Below are 24,911 nucleotides of genomic sequence, written 5' to 3'. Positions count from 1 at the left end.
TTATTTTTGAGATGGAGTTTCACTCTTGTTGCCCAGGCTGGAGTGCAATGGCACAATCTTGGCTCACCACAACCTCTGCCTCCTGGGTTCAAGCGAGTCTCCTGCCTCAGCCTCCCGAGTAGCTGGGATCACAGGCATGTGCCACCACACCTGGCTGATTTTTTGTATTTTTACAAAACTGGGGTTTCTCCATGTCGGTCAGGCTGGTCTCGAACTCCTGACCTCAGGTGATCTGCCTACCTCGGCCTCCCAAAGTACTGGGATTACAGGCATGAGCCACTGTGCCCAGCCCACCAGTGCCTTTAGACATATCTGTGGACAGTTAGGGTTCTCCATGCTTTGGCTCCTAGATAGCTCTCACGGCCCTTTATTCTCCACACTCCACATTCTTGACTGCACAGCCTGTGGTTCCCTAAATAGTTATTTCCAGCTATCTTGACATCTGTGTTTGATTTACAGTACCCACAGTATTTATAATACTGTATTATACTTATCAGTTTACATATCTGTCTCCTATTCTAAACTACAGACCTCTTAGAAGTAAGAACTATGTTTATGCTTGTATCCCCAATACCTAGGGTTGTCTCTGCCACATGGTAGGCTCACAAAAAAAATGTCTGTTGTATGATGAGTGGGTGCAGGCATGATTTAAATGAGGGAAGCCATCCTGCCTCACAAAACAAGATGCTTGTTTTCTGTAGGAGAAAGTATTCCAGTCACCAAAACTCCGTTACCCAAGATGGATAGCTCTGTGCCCTGGAAAACACAGAGTGAAGCGGATTACAAGCGGCATGTCCTCTTCTGTGGAACAGAGGTTATCCAGGCCAAGGCAGCTTGCTCTGGGACCGTGAGAGCCGTGGTACTGCAGACTGGTTAGCATCCCCTCCTTTTTCTTATTTTTAATGGTATACTTTTGCCCAGTTTGTCTAGTGCCTTAAATTTATTAGGTAAAGAGAAGCTGTTTTTTCTTTATAATCATATTTTTTTAATTTTTAATTTTTGTGGGTATATAGTAGCTGTGTATATACTTATGGGATACCTGAGATGTTTTGACACAGGCCTGCCATGTGAAATAAGCACATCATGGAGAAGGGGGTATCTATTCCCTCAAGCAGTTGTCCTTTGAGTTACAAACAATCCAATTATGCATTTTAAGTTATTTAAAAATATATAATTAAGTTATTATTGACTATAGTCACCCTTTGTACTATCAAATAGTAGATCTTATTCATTCTTTCCATTTTTTTTTGGACCCATAGACAAGGAGAAGTCTTACCTACAGGTACAAAACACATCATATATATATAAATCCATATATTTTAAATACCAATTGAACTATGGCATATGCCTGTTAGTAAAAATGATAGTACTGATAACAATAATTATTATGTATGTGCCTTTGCAGTATATAAACTATTTTCACAATATCAAACAAGCAGAGCAGAGATGCTTACTGTTTCTGCTATGTCCATGAATAGGCTGAGGCCACACAATTCAAATGAACTTAAAAAAATACCATGGCCAGCAATTGACAGAGCTGGACCTAGAACTCAGGTCTCATCCTGAATCCCAAGTTCTTTCCAGGGTGGGCTAGAAACTGAAAATTTAACATTGCAAAGTATTAGAAAAGTGAGTCCATCAGTATTTACTGGACCACTTAATTTCAATTCAGTGACATGTGTGTGCGTGCACACGTTTGAGTCATTTTCTTAAAATAAAATGCTATTTGGCAAAGCTGTGCTGTGCACCCAGTACGGCGGTTTTCTATCTCCAGGATGCATTGAAATTGGAAGTAGAGGGAAGGAAGGCCAGAGAGAGTACTGGGCTCTGAGATAGAGATTTCCGTTCCAGCATTTATGTATTTTTCTAGTTATCTTTCAATTGCCTTTGAGCTTAAACACTGTTCAAATATCAGCAGAGAAAAACAAAGGCAGTGTTGAGGTTTGGAAGAGCTAGCAGTAGCGTTGGTCTCCTGAGAGTGTGGGGTGTGTGTTTGTTGTTCCAGGATTCAACACTGCAAAGGGAGACCTTGTGAGATCCATTCTCTACCCTAAGCCAGTGAATTTTCAGTTGTACAGGGATGCCATCAGGTTCCTCCTGTGCCTTGTAGGAACAGCCACCATTGGGATGATCTATACTCTGTGTGTCTATGTGCTTAGTGGGGTAAGCTGTCTTTGCTCTTTTATTAAATGCACACACACTCATCTCTGTATATTTTGTACTGTGCATGTTGGCCTTAACCTAGGATGTGGTTTACAAACCTGGGAAACAAAACCAAGCACTGATGCCTACGTATAGACTTCCAGATCCCAGTCAGCAATTGATCACTAAGTTCCATAATAACAAACAGGTTTCATGGGATAATGGGATAAAACAATCTGTTTATTGATATATCAGTGTACTTCTCTTTTCCTCACACTTTATACCATTTTTTCTTTTCAATCTGAGAATATATTTCTTTCAATAAAGTAGCATATTTAGAGCTATTGAGCAAGGGATTTTAAATAAAATCAGACACCCAGTTTTGGTGAGGTCATGGCAGACTAGTACGTTATTGTTTTGCTGGTAACAATATAAATCACATGGGTTTTTTATTGCTATTTGGTGAAAGATAGTGAGAGCTATAAACATGGTCATGCCTTTAACCCACTGATATCATTTCTTGAAATTTGACCTAAAGAAGTAAACAAAAAGAAGGAAGGCCGGGCAAGGTGGCTTATGCCTGTAATCTCAGCACTTTGGGAGGCCAAGGCAGGTGGATCACCTGAAGTCAGGAGTTCAAGACCAGCCTGGCCAACATGGCAAAACCCCGTCTCTACTAAAAATACAAAAATTAGCCAGGTGTGGTGGCGTGTGCCTGTAATCCCAGCTACTCAGGAGGCTGAGGCAGGACAATCGCTTGAACCCGGGAGGTGGAGGTTGCAATGAGCTGAGATCACACCACTGTATTCCAGCCTGGGCGACAAGAGCAAAACTCCGCCTCAAAAAAAAAAGGCAAAGAGTCATATGCTGTTCATCAGAGATTTGTCTGTAATAATTAAAGAATGACTGTCGTCCAGGAACCTCCAGAGGAGGTGGTGAGGAAAGCCCTTGACGTCATCACAATTGCGGTTCCTCCGGCTCTACCTGCTGCTCTGACCACAGGCATTATCTATGCCCAGAGGAGGCTGAAGAAGAGAGGCATCTTCTGCATTAGCCCCCAGAGGATCAACGTATGTGGACAGTTAAACCTTGTCTGCTTTGACAAGGTATGTGTGTTTCATCCTTATTCTTATCATCATTTTTACCATTGCTGTCATCATGTATATCTACTTTTACCCCCTTGCAAGGCAGGAGACATAGAATGTGGGTGCCTGTCTTCATTTTATCCCTGGTTAGATGCATGATCTGGGAAAGATATGTCTCTTGAGCTCGCAGAGTCCAAGGTTTAGAGGAGAAGTGGGTACTAAATAGGAGAATCTTTTTGGGTCCTTCCAGCTTTGATATCCTATGAAAAGCAATTAAAGTAGCATCCTGTTTCTCTGCAGTCAAAACCTTCATACAAAGACGAAAATTTAAACCCTTTGCTATCGTCACTGCTGTATCCTTGATGCTGAGAATATTGCCTGGCATATAGTTAGTGTGCAATAAATATCGATTGAATTAATGAACAAATAAAAAAGGAAGAGTTTATTAAACTGTGCCTTACTATGATACTCATATCAAGCTTTTGCTGTATTTTCCCATCTGTACTTTATTGCTTAAAATTACCCTTGATTATTTGCCAGTTATTCCCAACCAGCCTCGTATTCTACCGTCTTTTTATTGTATTTATTTAGTCTGTACACACATATGCTGGGGTGAAGGTGGGAGTTGTGAGAGAATAAGATGGAAATGCCTTTCAGGGCATTGTGAACAGGTGAGCATGGGTAGAGGCCTGGAGGCAGGAAAGCAAGAGAGTGTGGTTTTGACTAGAGCAGGATGTTGGTAATGGGAGAAGCTATCTGTGGACCTTGAATGTGTGGCTAAGAAATTGTTTACATATATTTTAAGCAGTGGAGGGTTATTTGAAGGCTTTTGTTGCTGTTGTTGACTTCTTTCTTTAATTTACTTTTTAAATGTGGTAAAATACACATAACATAAAATTTACTATTTTAGCCATTTTTAAGTGTACTGTTCACTGGCATTAAGTGCCTTCTCACTGTTCTGCAACCATCACTACTATTCATTTTGAGAACTTCTTTTATTTTCCCAAACTGAAGCTATATTCATTCAACAGTACACTGAAGGTTTTGATAGTTGAGAATTAATGGGATCAGGGCTGTATTTTATAGTTATTGGAATATCAGAAAGATCTACCAAGAACAGAAAGTCAACATGACTCTTGCCACCATTTTGTATATTATTTTGTGATCAAACTAGCAATGTAAGAAATGACATTCTATTTATGAGATTATATCCTCGGACCTGGAAAAAGAAACAGGAGTGGGAGAGATAATTGTGACCTCAATTTGTATAAAAAATGAGCAATAATTATGAATAATTATGATTATTATTAGCTTTTACTGTATGCTAGATATTAAATGAAACACTTTATGTTATCCCATTTAATCTTCACCACAGCTCTCTGAGATTATGACCATGTTACAGATAAGAGCTCTTATATTTAGGGGGATTAATTTGCTCTGGTCACACAACTGGTGTTTAAACCTAACCTGAATTCTTAACCATAATATTGCACTGAGAGAAATACCACCACCTTTTTTTTTTTTTTTTTTTTTTTTACCAAATAGCAAACCATTTCTTTCGAGTCTGTTCACAGTGCCCTGCAGGTAAAAATTTCACTCTATTCCTTATTTTAATGACATATTTTAAACTTCTGCTATGAAACTAGGACTCACCCATTTTATATCGAGGACTTTCACATCCATTCAGTCTACCATTAGATCCTCAAAACAATCCTCTGAAGTTGTGAGGAAGATACTTTTTTTGTTGTTGTTATGGAGGACACTAAAGTTTGAAAAGATTAAGTGCCAGCTTGTTAGACAACTGGCATGAGCTCATCAACGCTTCCAACGGGCACTCCAGAGACCCACCCATTGTGCCCCTCCTTGAAGTGCTGATCTTGTTAATATGTTTGTGAAGTATTTTCTCATTACAAAAATACCTTATTTATCTGCACTACGGAGTCTTCGCTATGGGGCCACTGGATTTTTTTTTTTTTAAAATAGGGAGGTGGTTTCATTATGTTGCCCAGGCTGGTCTTAAACTCCTGAGTTCAAGTGATCCTCTTGCCTCCGCCTCCCGTAGTGCTGGGATTACAGGCATGAGCCACCGCTCCTTGCCTGGATCTTCAGAGTAAATGGAGCATTTGTTTCTGTTTAGACAGGCACCTTAACAAGGGACGGCTTGGACCTCTGGGGAGTCGTGTCCTGTGATAGGAATGGGTGAGTACCTTGGACTCTTGGACTAAATGCATTCTAGTGTCTCTTTTTCCAAAATTCCGTGTTTTCTCTTGAAATTAAGAATGGAGACATTTGGACTTTGGCTTTGGTGGACAATGATTGCCAAAGTATCTTCTTTTAACTTCTCATCTTTAATTCTTCAAAGCCTCCCTAAAACACACACATTTCCCCCCATCCCAACCCAGTCCCATGCCACTCACAAATCCTGGAGATGAAGCTTTGACACTGCATTCAAATCCTTGCTAAAATATAATTTGCTTCCAGCATGAAGTTGACGCAGTATAAGTAATTTAGACATTACCAGGACACTGTCCTTTAAGGAGGTAACATTCTTTGTTCAAGCTGAAGCCTCTTGATGTGCTAGGAGGAAGGACACTGCTCTTACTTTTGTACCCTGAATTTCAGGAAGAGGAACATTTGTAGAACCGTAGCTAGTGTACTCATGTTTCTTGGTATTCAAATTTTGAGAACTCTACTTTCTGGCTGCTGGAAACTCTCTTTTTTCTTTTTTTTTTTTTTTTGAGACGGAGTTTCACTCTTGTCGCCCAGGCTGGAGTGCAGTGGCATGATCTTGGTGCATTGCAACCTCCGCCTCCTGGGTTCAAGCGATTCTCCTGCCTCAGCCTCCCGAGTAGCTGAGATTACAGGTGCCTGCCACCATGCCTGGCTAATTTTTGTATTTTTAGTAGGGACGGGGTTTCACCATGTTGGCCAGGCTGGTCTCAAACTCCTGACCTCAGGTGATCCGTCCACCTCGGCCTCCTGAAGTGTTGGGATTACAGGCATCAGCCACTGCACTTGGCTGAAACTCCTTTTTCCTAGCAAGAAAAGACGGTTTTGACAGTTCTCAGCATGGTGTGGTAAAGATTTGCACAGTCCTCTCCTGTGGCCCTCTTGTGGCCATGTTTGAGTTTGCGTCTCTGCCCGCTTTTTCAACTCACTACGAACTCCCGTGGAATCAGAACATGAAATCTCTGATGCACTTGACGTTTATGTTTTGTTTGAAAATGAAAGTTTTTTCCTCTAACACTTATAACTTAAATCACAAAGCATTTTGTACATGAAAGGTTCTTTGTGGTTCTTTTGCATTATGACATGTAATTTATCCATAAAATGTTAATTACACATAGTTTAATAATTGTCATATTAAAATGCTATCTAGAAACAAGTCTAATTCCTGGATTAAAAAAGTGATCCTCGTGCTTCTAACCACTTTAGTGTACAGAAGAGGCCTCTGAAAGTGTTAAACTCTAAAGTTCTTTCATTTTTCCTAGAAGATAGATTTGGATATATACTTTGTCTCATGGTTCATTAGTGTTTTTCTGTTTCAGCTTCTGCAAAATATGTGTACATTTGTTCAAATATGTGAGCATCTTGAGAGCAGTCTTGTTCTTATTTAGATTTGCATCCTAAGTGCTGTAGCTCTGTACTAGGCACAAATAGTAGGTGCACAGTAATCGCTCATCTAAAATGAACTCAATATGTTCTGTCTTTTGAATGTTCTTCTTATTCCATTGACACCAAACTATTCATAAAACTTTGGAAACTTTGTTTCTAAAAGTGACTTGTTACATTTAAGGAATAACAATTAATATAATGTTTAGGTAAATGATTCATTTCCCTCCCTTCCTTCCTTCCTTCCTTCCTGCCTTGCTGCCTTCCTGCCTTCCAATCAAAGTTGAATTCCAATGATTAAAACAATTTAAAATAAAAAATGACAAATTTAATTAATAAAATGAAACAAAACAGAATTAATTCTAGGTAAGAAGTGAGCACCTGACTTATAGACTATTCAATACCTTCTTGTTAAAGGTGAGCTCATCTCTGATATTTCTTCCTTTCCAAAAAGCCCTGATTGTTGTGTCAGATACTTTAAGAACTATTAAAGGCTATCAGGGATTGATAACCAGAAATACTCAGATAAAAATGGGTGGACAGGAATGATAGAGAGCTTTATGTATTTGCTGTGCTAAACAGAGTCTGGCCCAATCCTCTCGAATGCAGAATTATACACTCAGAATTACGGACTAGTGACAGTGTACGTCTCATAGTAAAAATAAGATTTTTTTTCTGATCTGTATTTTGCTTTTCAGTGTGCGTTTAAGTTTCTGTGTTAACTGTCCTGCTGGTGGTCTCTTCCTTTTAGATATTTACTAAAATACCATTGGGTATGTGGTAAACCACCAAGATGAGCTGCTCTTTTAAGACATAGTAATAAGTATAACTAACAGGGTCAATATGAAGCCAGGACATTTTTGAACTCTTAGTGTGACAAAAGGAAGCTTGAATGCAAAAGCCAGGAAGCCATGTGGCTGAATTGTGAGTTAACACTGAGATGTGTTTGCTTTCAAAACAAAGGGCTACAGCAACTTAAGGTTATCTTTAAATAAATTCAGGGTCCATATTATCAGAAGTAATTGTCTGTCTTGAAATGTGGTCTCCAGGATCAGACAATGACAAATTTAGGAACTTTTCCAAAAAAGAAGAATAAGGAAGGTGAGAGGGAGGCCTGATCAAGCTGTTATTAGAGGAACAGCCGGAGGTTCCTGTGCGACACCAGAGGGAGAGAGGGTGAAGGGGACGGCAGAGTTGATCCCTAAGTTTGAAAGAAGTTGGCATGTGGAGGAGGGGGAGCAAGTGGACCCTTACTGGCTCCCAGGAGCAGATTCTGCCCCAATGTAGGATGAAGCTTCCACCGTTCAAACGTCCTCCTAATAGGGTAAGCTGCTTTGAGAACCAACGCCTGTGCTGCACATTTGAGAAGGGGCTGTGACTAACCAAGCTGCAGACAACATTCTTCTTGTGACGCCAAAGCTGAACTTAATGGCCTCCACTCTGAATTAGTGAAGGAAGCCTGCATATGACATTTGAGTTGTATTTTAATAGCTTTTTAGATGAGACTATGTTCTTATCTAAAATGAGATGATGGGGATAATGGTTGGGATATGGACACAAGAGGCCAGGGTGGAAGAGGGGGATGCAGTGTTCATTTGAAAAATGTTTTTAGCCGGGCACAGTGGCTCACGCCTGTAATCCCACCATTTTGGGAGGCCGACGCAGGTGGGTTAGCTGAGGTTGGGAGTTCAAGACCAGCCTGGCCAACATGGTGAAACCCCATCCTTGCTAAAAATACAAAAAATTAGCCTGACATGGTGGTGGCTGCCTGTAATTCCAGCTATTCAGGAGGCTGAGGCAGGAGAATCGCTAGAACCTGGGAGGCAGAGGTTGCAATGAATCGAGATCACGCCACTGTCCTCCTCCAGCCTGGGTGACAGAGTGATAGAGTGAGACCCTGTATCCAAAAGAAAAAGAAAAAACTCAGAGACCTTTCTCATACTCAGTGAACTTACTTGGCTGAATGAAGCACTATTAATGTGGGAGGATTGGAGAGTGGCTATTAATGCAACAAAGCATATTAAATTATTTTTTTATAAAGATGTTTGTTCACCTCCAAGATGCTCTGTTTTGGCATGAGGCGATGGAATGGAAACCCATTTCCTTTTCTCCTTAAGCTTTCAGGAAGTTCACAGCTTTGCCTCAGGCCAGGCTTTGCCATGGGGCCCACTGTGTGCAGCGATGGCCAGCTGCCACTCTCTGATCCTTCTTGATGGGACCATCCAGGGAGACCCTCTGGACCTCAAAATGTTTGAAGCCACCACCTGGGTAAGCCTCTGCTCTTCAGAGAATCTGAGAAGCTTCTTCAATGCCAGAGCAACATAGGCAATATCAGAGCTATCTAATTCTTATAAAAGGTGAGGTTTCCAATGTGGAGTACATTTGGTAGTGAAGGGCAAACCAATCTAAGGCTGGTTTCCTCATCTGTGCAATGAAGCTAATAATAGCATCTACATAATGAGATTGTGAGGATTAAATGAGATGATGCAGTAAGAAAATCCTTGGCACTATGCCTGGCAAATATTAAAGGTTCGATCATATTAATATAATTGTACTTATTATGCAGTTATTTCTTGTCTCTCTGTACTGTTCTCCGAGCATTGTCTGGTTTCGAAGATTTTCCAGAATATGGGGATCAGAAAACATTGCTTTCTCCAGTGCTCAGGATAACTCATAGATTCACGGGGACTATAAGTCTTATTTCTATTAATTTCATATTGATTTTATTTCCAAGACTAGAAAGAACAAAAAGGAAAACCACTAAAGAGCTTTTGTTGAGACTCTAAACTAGATTTAAGAGCCAACAGTGTCGTTCAGGAATCTGGCTTTTCCGATTCTAGTTTTGTCTCTGCTCTAACTGACTGCTGAATCCCATTAAGCTATCTCTCATGTTGGGGCTTTGGCTCTCATGACCATAAAATGAAGTTGAATTAGACCAGTGGTGTTCACATAACACAAAACAAGACAAACAATCTGGAATCTTCTCGTAAAAGGAAACGTTCTCCAGAAACACTCTAAAGACTAAATAGCTGGAGTTACTCCAGTTGAAATAAAAGGTGGGATCTAAAGATGAGGACTAAGGGACCTGCATCCCTGACTACTTAGCTATAATCCCTTCCTTTCTCCTGAGCTGCATATAGCTCTCGCCTCTGGTGGCACACTTTGAGCACCACTGAAAGAGACAATCTTCAGGGTCCCTTCCAAATCTCCTGGAGCATTATTTCATAGCAATCTAATATAACTTTGCCAATCCTCCATCTTTTCTGGGTTACTGATTCCATATCTTTAAATAGGGATTGCAGTTTTCTCTCTGGGACCTTGTCAGCCACTCAGTGAGATGATTACAAAGCACTGTGTTGTCTTTGGGTAAAAGGTCCCTTTGACTATAATTTAGGGTCATTATTATAGCAATTACTGATTATTAACCATGTATATCACAGTCTCTGCCCTGCCCTACCCCAGCCCTGAGAACCATCCATCCAAATTAGACACACATGCAAGGGCAGGAAGAGCCGTGAAGTGCAGGAAAAGAACGACAGAAAGGTGCTTGCTTCACACAAAAGAAGTCTGGCCCTTCATGTGCATGGCTTTCAAGCTAGGCTCTTCAGAAATGGAGACTGAGCCTTTACACAGCACATTCCAACAGAGAAAACAAGATAAATTGCATGAATAATTCAAAAGTGTCTGCCCTTCAAGTTGTGCAGCATTTTCAATGCATTCTTTTTTTCTGTGGCGGAATAAATCTGGTTCACCTCTGAGGGAAGAGACACGGAAAACACATTGAGGTGGTCTGAGGATCTTCTCAAGGGGAGGGTTCAAGCATAGCATCAGTGGGCAAACAATAAATAAATCTCTGCAATGAAATATCCTATTTGTGAAATAGGAAATGGCTTTTTCTGGGGACGATTTCCACATCAAGGGAGTGCCGGCACATGCCATGGTAGTTAAGCCCTGCAGAACAGCCAGCCAGGTAAGCCCTGCTTGCTCTTCACCCCACAACACCCAAACTCAAAGAGAAACTCTTCTGGCCCCCAGTTTTTGAAAGGTCACAGATGTGTCTTTGAATTTCAGGTGTGAAAATGGGTGAGACCTTCCCCCTTATTTGTTAAAATGAATATTACGGAAGGAGTGGTTAATTCCCAGTAGCTAGAAGCTGTATCAGCATGTTCCTCTCCTTTCCCCATCCCTCAACCAGGTCCCAGTGGAAGGAATTGCAATCCTGCATCAGTTCCCATTCTCATCGGCACTGCAAAGAATGACAGTCATTGTCCAAGAGATGGGAGGTGACCGACTGGCATTCATGAAAGGTGCACCAGAGAGGGTGGCCAGCTTTTGCCAACCTGAGACAGGTCTGTAACTTGACTTGGATTACACCTGGCAAATCTGTATCTCCAGATAAATATGTTCCCACTGCATTTGATCTATTAATTCAATCGCCTATGGGTCATCACCAATTGGGTGGCTCACTGGCATTCCAAATTCAATACGAAAACCAAGCGTGTCTTTCTCATTTCCTGTATTTCCCAGTTTCCTATTTTGGTGCACGGTACCACCATCCCCCGCCACCACCCCATTTACGTGTCATCTCTGATTTCTCACTCCCCCTTAGTGCCTCTGTCTCATCAGTTGCTAGTCCATGGTCCTTCTCTGCACCTGCTCATGCTTTCATCATTCTTCATCACTTCAATAGTTGGTGGATTGACCCTCTGCCTCCAGTCTCCTCAACTTTGATTTGCCCTCTGTACTGTGACCAGATTTTTTACCTCACGATTATTTTAGTTGCTCTCATAGGCTCCAGTATAATCTCAAATTTCTTTAGGATCATATATAAGGCTTTCAGGTTTGAACTCCCAGTGAACTTTCCAGATGGGCCTTACCACTCCTCATCCTGTGCTTTTCCTGAGCTGAACTAAGTCTTCACAGCTTACTCTCATGCCTCCATGCCTAAGCTCATGATTCTCCCTCAGCCCCAGAATCCTTCCTTTACTGAACCACCTCCTCCCAGGCTGGTATGTACACCACCAAACGCTTTCCATAGCATGCTGCAGTGGCATGGATCATAGCAATGATCTCATTTGATTGCATTGTTAGTCTGCTGGCTGTAACTCAATTAGACAGAAATCCTTAGAGCAGAACTTGTGAGTTTTTTTCAATTTCACTCCTTTTTTTAACCTATATTTTAAGTTCAGTGGTACATGTGCAGGTTTGTTACATAGGTAAACTTGTGTCATGGGGGTTTCTTGTACAGATTAATTCACTGTCCAGGTATTAAGCCTAGTACCCATTCGTTATTTTTCCTGATCCTCTCCCTCCTGCCACCCTCCACCCTACAACAGGCCCCAGTATGTGTTGTTCCCCCCTATGTCCATGTGTTCTCATTATTTAGCTCCCACATATAAGTTTGGTTTTATGTTCCTATGTTAGCTTGCTAAGGATAATGACCTCCAGCTCCATCCAGGTCTCTGCAAAGGACATGATCTCATTCTTTTTTATGGCTGCCTAGTATTCCATCATGTATATGTACCACATTTTCTTTATCCAGTCTACCATTGATGGGCATTTAGGTTGATTCCATGTCTTTGCTATTGTGAATAGTGCTGCAATAAACATATATATGCATGTGCATCTTTATAATGCAATGATTTACCTGTCTTTGGCTATATACCCAGTAATGGGATTTCTGGGCTGAATGGTATTTCTGTCTTTAGGACTTTGGGGTATCACTGTGTTTTCTTCCACAGTGGTTTAACTAATTTACACTCCCACCAACAGTGTATAAGCACTTCTTTCTCTCTACAACCTCACCAGCATCTGCTGTTTTTTGACTTTTTAATGATCACCATTCTGACTGGTTTGAGATGGTATCTCACTGTGGTTTTGATTTGCATTTCTTTAATGATCAATGATGTTGAGCTTTTGTGTGTGTGTGTGATTGTTGGTCTTATGTACGTCTTCTTTTGAAAAGCGTTCATGTCCTTTGCCTACTTTTTTTTTTTTTTTTTTTTTTTGAGACGGAGTCTCGCTCTGTTGCCCAGGCTGGAGTGCAGTGGCGCAATCTCGGCTCACTGCAAGCTCCGCCTCCCGGGTTCACGCCATTCTCCTGCCTCAGCCCTCCTAGTAGTTGGGACTACGGGCTCCCGCCACCTCGCCCGGCTAATTTTTTTTTGTATTTTTAGTAGAGACGGGGTTTCACCGTGTTAGCCAGGATGGTCTCGATTTCCTGACCTCATAATCCGCCCACCTCGGCCTCCCAAAGTGCTGGGATTACAGGCTTGAGCCACCACACCCGGCCCTTTGCCCACTTTTTAATGAGGTTGTTTGTTTTTTTCTTTTTGTAAATGTTCTTTAAGTTCCTTATAGATGCTGGATATTAGACCTTTGTTGGATGCATAGTTTGCAAAAATTTTCCCCTGTTCTGTAGGCTGTATGTTTACTCTTTGACAGTTTCTTTTGCTGTGCAGAAGCTCTTTAGTTTAATTGGATCCCATTTGTCAATTTTTGCTTTTGTTGCAATTGTTTTTGGCATCTTTGTCATGAAATCTTTGCCTGTGCCTATATCCAGAATGGTATTGCCTAGGCTGTCTTCCAGGCTTTTATAGTTTTAGGTTTTAAAAGTCGTCAATCCATGTTAAGTTAGTTTTTGTATATGGTGTAAGGAAGGGGTCCAGTTTCAGTCTTCTGCATACAGTTAGCCAGTTATTTCAGGACAATTTATTGAATGGGAAAGCCTTTCCCCATGCTTATTTTTGTCAGGTTTGTCAAAGATCTGATAGTTGTAGGTGTAAAGTCTTATTTCTGGGTGTAGAGCTTGTGATTTATTCTCTGCATAGCCAATGCCTGCCAGATGGTAGATTCTCAATAAATGTTTGTTGGTTAAATTGAAGAAAAAAGAATTTTACACTTTTCCTATCTTTTTTTTAAGTTTTTCAAATGCTTCCTTCTCATTTTAGCTTCACTACATCTGAAGAGGTCAACCCTGACAATGTAGTTATGTTTAGAATTTTCAACTGACTTGTTTACATATCTTTGTAGAAGTGTGTTTTCTTGGGCAAAAGTTGGATGTTTGTAAAGAATTTCTTTGCCAGTACTGCCTAAGCAAATAACTGCGTACTAACCCTGTGTTTCTTTCTAAACAGTACCCACTAGTTTTGTTAGCGAACTTCAGATTTACACGACACAGGGCTTCCGAGTCATAGCACTGGCCTACAAGAAGCTGGAAAATGACCATCACGCTACTACCTTGACGAGGTAAATGGGGATGATTTTGATAAAGCAGAAAGGTTTGATGGAAAGATGTACCAGGTTGGAATGTCAAGTGCATTAGACTGGGATGGACTTAGGGGTTCTGGGTGGTGGACAGAGCAATGTAGCTTGCTGAATTTGTGTGCATAACATGTCTCTGAACACTGGTAAATAGGGATATAGTAATCCCTGCCCTGCCTAAATCCCAAAGATAGTGTGAACACTCACTGGGGGATTTTATGAGAAATAGTCATATAAGATGTTTAATATGATGTGATTTTTACAGCTTTGTGAAAACAGACATAGAAATATAATCAGCGTTTCAGAATTTGAAATTGTGGTCATGCCCCCATTTAAAAAAAATTATAGTTGGTGGATTGGTTGGGAATTATGAAACATAACATTTACCAGAAAAAATTTTTGATTGGAAATACACAGCTTAATGAAACAAATAAATACAGCTTAGATGATATAATCTTGGTGACATCTACAAAAAAAACAAGGAAAACTTCTGAGGTGCCATACTAGAGAAAGATTTTAACCTATAGATTAAATTTTACATTTTAGGATTAAAATAGAGATGCGTAACAGCTCCAAAACTGCAGTATTTATGAGTTCAATTTTATTTTTTTTAATTCCACTCTTTTCAGGTATCATGTTTATTTCACCTTTCATGTCATTTCTAACACTTAATGTCAGCCACCACTGCTTATGCTGTTACGGAGCTAATCTAGGCTCATTTTTAAATTTAGGATTTTACATTTGGGAAGTCTAACCTATTTGTTTCAATCTAATCAGAGTCAACACTCTCTTGTAACTATATTTTTGAACTCAATATTCTAAAATAAAATTCACATATTATCTGCACATATTCTTTGTAAAAATATATAATAACCCATTATATAGTAAGAATGAAAGCAAAACATATAATGTTTCACACAGGTGATAGTTTAATAAATGCTCAGCTGACTCCACTAACACAAAATGAAGTAACAAGTTGCTTGTACCTGTGTATAGAATAATTGAGGCTGCAACATCTACAAATACAGACTGATACAGGTGTGTTATGTATTGCAGACTCAAATACCTCAGTCTTGCCGCCAGTAAGGTGACTGTGAAGTGGTTAACAAGTCTTGGTAAAACTCTGAAAAAAACAGTACAATCTCCTCCCAATTTATATAGTACAGGTAGTTACATTTCTGCAAAATTCAAAAGAATATAAGTGTGAAAAATACTTTGTGTTTATATGTAACACATATAAACTAGGAAAATTTTAATAAACAATTTTGTAATTGTTTAATATAAGATAATATTATATATATAATAATAGTACAGTATATTCTATAATAATAGTAAAATATATACAGTATAAGCCTAAAGTATATTATTATACTTAGAAAAGTATAATAACTTTTTTCAGTGTTCATGAATGTCCAGTAGGATATTCAAAAGACATGTGTGATGCAGGATAATTATTCATTGTGCATTGGTCTTTGCAGAAAGTCTTGCATAGATGCAAAAAAAAAAAAAAAAAAAAAATTCCACAATGTCCTCTAGAGGGAGGACTGTTTCTGCTTAGAAGGACTGCTGTGACCCAACTCTCTCACTTTGTGATGGGTAAAATGAAGCCCACTGTGGGAAGTGGCTCATTGTGTTTGTTTCCTGGGCTTGTTGGACCATTCTTCCTGGGGGTCCAGTTTCATGCTACCCCTGAAACTCTGGCTACTACAATTCTGTATATTTGTTGTAATTTGATCAACTTAGTTCAGGGTCACTCAAGTAAGGGAGCTAAAAGTAAACTTTGAGATTGGATATCACATTTTGAAGGAGAGGCAACTTGCGTCCAGGGAAGGGAAGGGACAGAGCAGAATTGGGAATGGAACTTGGTTTCCTGACAGGCTGTTGCCAAGGGCTATGGTAAGAGTCTGGCTACCATGCTGCTGCTTCTCATTGTCATAATATGATATTTGCATATTACAAGTTGCAAACTCATGGCTTTGAAATGCATGCACGTAACAAAGCACTTACTGTGGAGACACATGAGCAATGGGGAATAGTGAGGGCTGTGGCGCGCAGGAGAGGACATGTCCTGGTTAAAGGTACTGAAATTCTAACTTCTTAAAATCTTGTATGGTCTAAACACAAATCACAAATTCTCAACTAGGATTTGATCTCAGGTCATCAATCTGCCTCTCCTGTCTTAAAGCACATCAGCACCATGCATACACACAGCTAAATTAATTTAATGATCCTTTGTGAACTCCTGATTAGGATGGAACATTCTTGCTGTTGTTTTGGGGTTTTTTTCTGTGTGGTTACTCAGGGTGCTTCCAGCATTGGTATCATAATCTCTTCAAAGGTTATTGGCCCACTTCATGCATATTTCATCCTTTAAAAGTCACATGGATTTTAAGAACATGAGATGTAATCACAGGGATGACAATGCTTTCTATATATTACACTTATCATTCTTTATTATTTTTAGATACTTCAGGAGGAGGCATAATATCTGTGCAGGAAGCCAGAAGAGATAGAAAGCCATTCCAAGTTTCAGGGCTTAAGACCCCTTAAGGAATTACTCCTTTTAATTTTTTTGGTTCAGATTAAATGCTCATGAAAGGAAGAACTTGTTTACCAGCCAAAGAGAGTGATTTAGTCATGCTCACACAGCAAGGCAGTGGTAGGGCTGACATTAGAACTCCAGCCTCCTGATTATTGTGCCTTGAACCATACAAAGGCCATAAGCCAGAGGAACTAGAAATACTAGTGCCAATGTAGGCTATAGGCTATGGCAGATGTTTGACCCTGCAGCCATTTTCTTGGCCTAATCTGGCACTTTGTGGTTGGCTCAGGTCATGTCTTCTGCAGAAATAACCAAGGCCTGGGGCCTGAGTACCAGGACCATGAGAAAGATTGGAAGACCTATTGTGCCAAACCCCCATGCACTTCAATAGGGAAGGCACCAGGTTCAAGAGGCTGAAGAAGAGACCCAGAGCCAGCAAAGGAGGCATGGGGTTTTATTAGGGGCTCACCTACAGGGGAGAGAGTCCCGTAACAGCCGGCTGGACAGGAGAACCACCTTACATATAGAAACAGTCCAGTGGCAGCAAAGTGGACAACATATCTGCCTTCCTATACTCCAGTGGTGGTGAGCTGTGCAGGAAAACCGCTGCTGCCTGCAAACATCATGCAGTTTGTATAGTGTTTTCACTTGACTCCTTAATGACCTCCACCCAGCAACCTTCATCCACCTCACAACTCAGGGCCTCAGCTCCCTTTATGGCCTGGCACATCTTCCACTAGATGGGACGGGGGCTCAGAAGTTCCTCAGAGACAAGGAACAGATCTCCGGGTTGGCCACGGCCAGATTTCCTAGCTTGGAACATACATTTAGGTGCGTCTGCCATAGAGGTTCATTCTAAGGGTATGCTAAGTAGTTATTGCTATCAGGTGCATTTACCCTATAAGCCCTCAATCAGGCATCAACCAAGTTATCCTTCAAACCCCAGATTAAATATCATCTTCTACAGCAAGCCTTCTCCAATCACTCCACCCAGAAATGAGAGCACCCTCCTCTCTGACTCCATGGGACTCGGATTTGGACATCTGTTTTAATACTTTTCCCAGTCTCTGCTACTACAGTCTCTGCATATTCTCTGCCACTTTTTCTCAGTGCTGTTCCTTGAACTCAGTAAAATTTCTGGATGAGGAATTTCCATAGATTACCTGGCAAAAAATGGTCCCAACAGGCCTCAGAGCATTTCAACTAGGCACACATTTGCTGAGCACTTGCTGTGTGTTGGGCACCGCATGAGTGGTGTTGAGCACAGCATTGAATCAGGTGGGATTGTTCCCAAGGAGCTGAGACAGTGTGACAAAGCAGAAGCCCAAGAATAAAACATGGGCAAATAAAATGTGAGTTACAGTGAAATATAAGTAATATGACAAGGGAGCAATTATTCCTTTTCTTTTTCTTTTCTTTTTTTTTTTTTTGTGAGACAGGTTTCATTTTTGTTGCCCAGGCTGAAGTGCAATGGTGTGATCTCAGCTCACTCCACCTCCTGGCTTCAAGCAATTCTCCTGCCTCAGCCTCCCGAGTAGCTGGGATTACAGGCGCCTGGCACCATGCCCAACTAATGTTGTATTTTTAGTAGGGATGGGATTTCTCCATGTTGGTCAGGCTCGTCTCGAACTCCCGACCTCAGGTGATCCGTCCACCTCGGCCTCCCAAAGTGCTGGGATTACAGGCATGAGCCACCACGTCTGTCTGGGAGCAATGATTTCTATCTGAGGGAGCCTTTGTGGGGGACGTGGTATAAGGCTCAGAACATTGGGAGGGTTTCAATAGCAGATCATGGGGAAATTACAACCTTTTCTATGAAGTAAGGACAAATGTCTTACAGCAGTCTAAAGCAAATGTCTAGAGATGGTTAAGTAGACAGAAAACCCATGGCTAGTGGTTCAACTTGGCTGGAAATGAGGGTGGGTGAGGAGTTTAGTGATAGCTGAAGCTGGAAAGATAATTTGGAACCAGATCATAGAGGGATTTAAATGATAGATTCAGAAAATGGGAAGTGCCATTCTTTCAAGCCTGCTCTGAGGTGAGTAGTTCAAACTGTGTCCACTTCCTGTGGCTCCATGGAGGCTTTAGCAGTTTCCTGGGAGCATCACTAACGCTAGTTCATGACTGTAGCTGATGTGAGACCCACTATTGAGACAGGCAAGGAGTCTGAGTGGGTGCCACTTTCATCTGTATTTCAGCCAGAGTTAGGCAGTGCTGGTGTCTTGTTCTCGATCTGTGTCTAAGATAAATAAATGATGGAAGAATCTTTGAACTCCTGATCCTGAATGTATTCCCTGCACTCAGTTCTGTAGAATATCCCTGAAAATATTCTTGGGGTGGATAGGAGCCTTGAAGGCTGCACCTATTTGCAGAAACATTCACGCTTGATACAGAAGATCATTGCTACCAGCTGGTGGAGAAAGAAAGGGATGAGCTTTACCTGAATAGAGAGGCCTGTTTGTTGAGATTATGACCTCATATCTCCTGGGGCTAAAATAATATTGATTATAGACTTGCCTGCTGGAGAAACTGGCATTTTATTTTATTTTTCTTTGCACCTCCGTTTTTTTTCATGCTTTGTGCCAGAACTAAAACTCCCCTTTGTGGGTAACAGGTGAGGCAATGAAAATCAGGCTAGCCACAACAGATGGAGGAGACCCTTACAGGCTTTCAGCTCATTTTCTGCAAAGGTTAAAGCAAAGCTTTTGCTTAATGAACACTCTCTTCCTCTTCCTCTTCATTCAGTTAGAGTTAAACATCTCCAGAGCCTTTGTGTCCGCTTCTGTTCTCTTTCTGGATCACTCCCAGTCCCTAATCAGCCCCTAACAGTGCTTGAATGAGTGAATGGAACCACTATGACAGGGGTCTTTTTCTTTTTGTTTTACTTCCTGTAAGAAAGCTATAATGTGGCTGGGTGCAGTGGCTCACGCCTGTAATTCCAGCACTTTGGGAAGCTGAGGCGGGTGAATCACTTGAATTCAGGAGTTCAAGACCAGCCTAGCCAACATGGTGAAACCCCGTATCTATTAAAAATACAAAAATTAGCCGGGCGTGGTGGTGGGCACCTATAATCCCAGTTACTTGGGAAGCTGAGGCAGGAGAATGACTTGAACCACTGTCCTCCAGCCTGGATGACAGAGCGAGACTCCGTCTCAAAAAAAAAGCTGTAATATGTGTTATTTCTGTTCAATACATCTATATATGTATTTTCAGGGAGACGGTAGAATCAGACCTGATATTTCTGGGGCTGCTGATCTTGGAGAATCGATTGAAGGAAGAGACAAAACCTGTCTTGGAAGAGCTCATCTCAGCCCGGATAAGGACTGTAATGATCACAGGTATGAAACAAAGTATACAGTGAAAACAGTAAGAATTTGATGTGGAAATAGACATGGTTCACTCATTTAATAAATGTTGTTGACTACCTACTCTGGGCCAGACATCATTCCAGGTGCTGGAGATGGGCAACAAAAAGGCACATTTACTGCTTTCCCTGAGTTTCCATGTGAGTGGAATGAGAGAAGATCAACCAATCAGTCAAATAGTATCAGCGTTTTGAGGTACACAAATAGGATAATGCAGGAAAGTGTTTGACCATCTGTTTTAGATGAGATGGTTAAGAGATGCCTCTCCGAGATGTGACATTTGAAATAAGATCTGAATGGCAAGAAGACATGAGTCAGGCAAAGGTGATTTTTATTGTCAAGTGCTAGAAGAAGAAGCATCCTCAGTTGATGGGGTCTATAAATATGCTGAAAACCCATCAATCATAAAATCCACGATTCTAGAAATTTAAGAAAATGATGTCCTCTCTACTCCCAATCCCAACTCCAAATCATACAAACAAGAGAGCAATGAGAGTAAATCACACAAGAGAAATGTGTGAAATTTCTTAATGAAATTAAGTGTGACTTTATTAATGAAATTTCACACTGATGCTATAATTTTTTAATTGGGAAAGAGACGAGGTGAATAAATGATTTCCTAATGAATTCATGTTCATATTTTTGGGGTGTGTTGCCTTTCTTTTCCCTGCTCTTGTAGTCAGATGCTTTTAACTCTATCATTTATGTCACGAAGATACATTATTTCCCCATCAAAGCACGCATTTTCTGTTCCCATTTCACCTGAACCCAATTCTACAGTTGCAAACTCTAGAATACTTTTATTTCCTCTTTTGTACTTCTCTGTCCCCTGTTCTACTCCCCACAATCCAAGAGGATCTTGGACTGTTTTTACTTTCTCCCTTTCTAACACCCCAGTCCAACTTTTTGAAGTTGCTGAGTTCATTTACTACTGGTTAGGATTTCCCTTACACTGTGACCCTTCTGTTTCAAAAATCTTTATTTAGCACTTAGATGACACATTCTCATAATCTATCCTTAACTTAGATTTATGTACAAGTGTTCCTCCTTCTCCACCCTCTCTCTTTACTTCCTCTTTTCTCATATTGAAATTTCTGCCGTATTTCTTTCCTTGCTTGTTTACAAATTTTTTTCGCTGAAGTATTGTCCTTGGATGGAATGAAGGGGTGCTCTTAGATTTCTTACATATGCTTGAATATCTTTCTTTGCTCTGACACATGAATGACATCTTGCTCAGATATAAGATTCTTGAATTATTGTTCTTTTTTCTTAATGATCTGTATGTAGGGGCTATTCCTTTGCCTTGTGGCTTCTGATATTGCTCATGACAAGTCCAGTGAGAGTCCACTGTAAGTAACTTACTCTTTTCTGCACATAAACTTTTTAACTTTGAAATTTAGAAATGTTTGCCTTTGTGTTTCCCTTATTTCATTAACTTAGTCTGGAACATGGACAGCGCTTTTAGAAAAATTTTTATTTTTATTTTTTACCATTTTTTGACATATTTATTAAGTCATCATAATATCTGTCACTTTGAATGTTATACATATGATAAAACAGATTATGAAAAGTATCATATTTATAGCAAGAACATTGGTTTATATAACTGAATCACCAAATACGCAACCCCTTGTGACAATAACTTAATGGACTCAACTCTATCCTCTGAATGGACCAGTTTTATGATGATTCATTCACTTAAAAAGTTTTGAATTGATTAGAATTTCTTGTTGCTTCTTTCTGTGACCCAAGGCCTTAGAATCAATCCCTGGAAACCAGTGATCAGAACCAGACTTCCCCAGAATCAAGAAGAGATCGGAGTGGGAGAAACATGGACAGCACTTTTTAGTCTTTCTTCCTACCAGAAAAGATTTCCCTATTGTTTATTTAATTTTTGCCTCTGTTCTCTGTCTTTCCATTTTTACTTCTGGTAGTTCCATTGTTATCTATCCTCTCAGTCTATCTTTTTTCTTGTAGTTGTCTTATTTATTTGTTTGTTTATTTACTTATTTTTTAGAGACAGAGTCTTGCTCTCTTGTCCAGGCTAGAGTGCAGTGGCAGGATCATAGCTCACTTCAGCCTTGAACTCCTGGGCTCAAGCGATCCTCCTGCCTAAGCCTTCTTAGTAACTGGGACTGCAGGCATGCACCACTTGCCTTGCTTTAGATTGTATCTTTTTATAATTTTGCTTTAAGACTTTTTTTTTTTTTGCACCCAGTTTGTTCAGACCACAATCTCAGGTCTCAACAATGCTCATTATCTTTTTCAAATCCCCTTTTGAATCGTTCAGTTGTTAAATTGTGTGTGGGGTGGGATTTGAGTTTTCTTAAGTTGAATCGTTCAGTTCTTAAATCGTGTGTGGGGTGGGATTTGAGTTTTCTTAAGTGCTCTCCTTATTTATTTTTTATTTATTTGTATTTTTTGAGATAGAGTCTTGCTCTGTCACCAGGCTGGAGTGCAGTGACCTGATCTCGGCTCAGTGCAACCTCCGACTCCCGGGTTCAAGCGATTCTCCTGCTTCAGCCTCCCGAGTAGCTGGGACTACAGGTGTGCACCACCACGCCCAGCTAATTTTTGTATTTTTAGTAGAGATAGGGTTTCACCATGTTGGCCAGGATGGTCTTGAACTTCTGACCTCAGGTGATCCTACCACCTTGGCCTCCCAAAGTGCTGGGATTATAGGCATGAGTCCCCACGCCCAGCCAGTGCTTTATTTATTTATTTATTTTTTATATATTTTTTTGAGACAGAGTCTCACTGTCTTGCCAGGGCTGGAGTGCAGTGGTGCGATCTCGGCTCGCTGCAACCTCCGCCTCCTGGGTTCAAGTGATTCTCCTGCCTCAGCCTCCCAAGTAGCTGGGATTACAGGCACGCAACACAACGCCTGGCTAATTTTTATATTTTTAGTAGAGACAGGGTTTCACCATGTTGGCCAGGATTGTCTTGATCTCTTGACCTCGTGATCTGTGTGCCTCGGCCTCCCAAAGTGCTGGGACTACAGGTGTGAGCCACTGCGCCTGGCCAGTGCTCTCCTTATTTTTAAAGCAGGTTTCATCTGTCTCCGGCAGCTTCTTGACTTCTCTAGTCATGTGCTCTGGTTGTTCCTCCTGATCTTTTCCTGTCCAGTGTCTCGGATTTCTTAGACAGGTTGTTAGATTTTTCTGTCAGATGATTGGAGCTCAGGCCTGGGCTGTTTATCCCGAACACTGGATCTCTGACAGGTGGTAGAGGGCAAAAAGCAGACAGGCTGTCAGGGGCCTGCTGTGGAGCATGGAGGAAGCCTATGAGCGCTCAGGGCTCCCTGTATCCTTCCAGCCTCAGGTAGCTCCTTCCTACCACTTCGGCTCTTTTGAGGATCTTCATACATAGTTTGGTAGAAACCTGGGAGAAGCTATGTTAAGGATAGCCAGCCAGATGTTATATGATTAATTTTTAATGGTTGCTCTAGGCATCACAACATACATACCTCTCCTTTCAAGAAGCCTTATAACCAGGAATGTCTCTTGCTTTCTCTTCTTTATGTTATTATCGTCATAACTATGACATATGTTGAAAACCCCCACCAGATGATGTGATAGTCTTTACTTTCAACAGGGAAGAGTTAAAGAACATGAGTAAAGAAAATTAGACTTTTATATTTACCCAGATCATTATCATTTCTGTTTCTGTGTTTTCATTCCTTAAGTTACAAGTTAACATCTGGTATCATTTCCTTTCAACCTGAAGAACCCTGTAGCTTTTGTTGTTGTTTATTTTTTGAGCATGTCCACTGTCAACAAATTATCTTCAATTTTCATTCATCTGATAAAGTCTTTATTTCTCCTTTATTCATGAAGAATATTTTTAGAAGCTATAGGAGTCAGAGTTGACACTTCAAAGTGAAAGATGAAGTCAGCACCTCAAAGATGTTGTTCCACTATTTTCTTCTCTCCATATTTTTGATGGAAATCTGTGATAATTTGAAGTATTGTTTTCTTATATGTAATGTGGTTTTCTCTAACTGCTTTTTTTGTTTATCTTTGATTTTTAGCAGTTTGATTACTATATGTCTGGTTGTGATTCTCACTAAGTTTATCTTGTTTGGAATTCACTGAGCTTCTTGAATCTGTAAATCTAAGTCTTTTATCATACTTGGGAAAATTTCTCCTATTATTTTGTCAATTTTTTTTTCTTTTTCAACCTTTTTTCCTCTCCTTGGACTCTAATGACATGAATATGAATTATTTTGGTATCTTTGAGTCTGTTCACTAAAACGATTTTTTCTCTCTGCTCTTCAGGTTGTGTAATTTCCATTGATCTATTCTGCTATTGAGTACATTCAGTGATTTTTTTAAATTTCAGGTATTATATTTTTTAATTCTAAAGTATCCATTTGGTTTTTTCCCACAGTTTATATTTTCTTGTTGAGAACTTCCGTCTTTCCACTTATTTCAAGAATATTAACAGTTACCACATGAAGGGGGCTTTTAATAGCTGCTTTAAAAACCATTGTCTGATACTTCCAACATCTAGGCTATCTATGGATTGGCAACTGTTGTGGCTTTTCTTGAGAATTGACCAGATTTTCCAGATTTTTCATATTGAATATCCCGAACATTTTGAATATTATGTTATGAAACTTTGAATCCTGTTAAAATCTTCTGGAGAATGTTGAGAGTTTTCTTGTTTGTTTGTTTTGGGCTAGCAATCAACCATAAGTTCTATCTTTCCTGTTGTAGGTGGCAGTTTCAATCTTAGCTAAAATATAAAATCTTTTGCTATGATGTTTGGGTCTGCCTCACTCAGAGGTTACTCTCACAAACGAGGGGTGATTTATATCATAGTTCAATTCCTGAAGTTTTTGGGGTTATCTTTCTTTGGATCTGGTCCACACACGCACAGCTCTAGGCTGAACTTGGGACT

At 40.4% G+C, this 24,911-nt stretch overlaps 1 protein-coding gene across 4 annotated transcripts in view; it reads left to right on the top strand.

Annotated features, from left to right (window-relative positions):
* Window positions 1-24,911, top strand: part of ATP13A4 (ATPase 13A4) — a 194,153-nt gene that overhangs the window by 124,932 nt on the left and 44,310 nt on the right. For all 4 annotated transcript variants that reach the window (XR_007095757.1, XM_047449063.1, NM_032279.4 and 1 more), the window contains 9 exons: window positions 702-872; window positions 2,006-2,163; window positions 3,060-3,248; window positions 5,365-5,426; window positions 8,957-9,107; window positions 10,723-10,809; window positions 11,035-11,188; window positions 13,976-14,087; window positions 19,858-19,982. Coding sequence is in view for 3 of the 4 variants with exons in the window: in XM_047449063.1 (XP_047305019.1) it covers window positions 702-872; window positions 2,006-2,163; window positions 3,060-3,248; window positions 5,365-5,426; window positions 8,957-9,107; window positions 10,723-10,809; window positions 11,035-11,188; window positions 13,976-14,087; window positions 19,858-19,982 (1,209 nt within the window). In the remaining variant the exon portion in view is untranslated. The remainder of the gene's footprint in view (window positions 1-701; window positions 873-2,005; window positions 2,164-3,059; window positions 3,249-5,364; window positions 5,427-8,956; window positions 9,108-10,722; window positions 10,810-11,034; window positions 11,189-13,975; window positions 14,088-19,857; window positions 19,983-24,911) is intronic.

This window comes from Homo sapiens, chromosome 3, assembly GCF_000001405.40.
Source record: "Homo sapiens chromosome 3, GRCh38.p14 Primary Assembly".
Taxonomy (NCBI): Eukaryota; Metazoa; Chordata; class Mammalia; order Primates; family Hominidae; genus Homo; species Homo sapiens.
The sequence above is the reverse complement of the archived record's forward strand: the minus strand, read 5'-3'. Positions and strand labels throughout refer to the sequence as shown.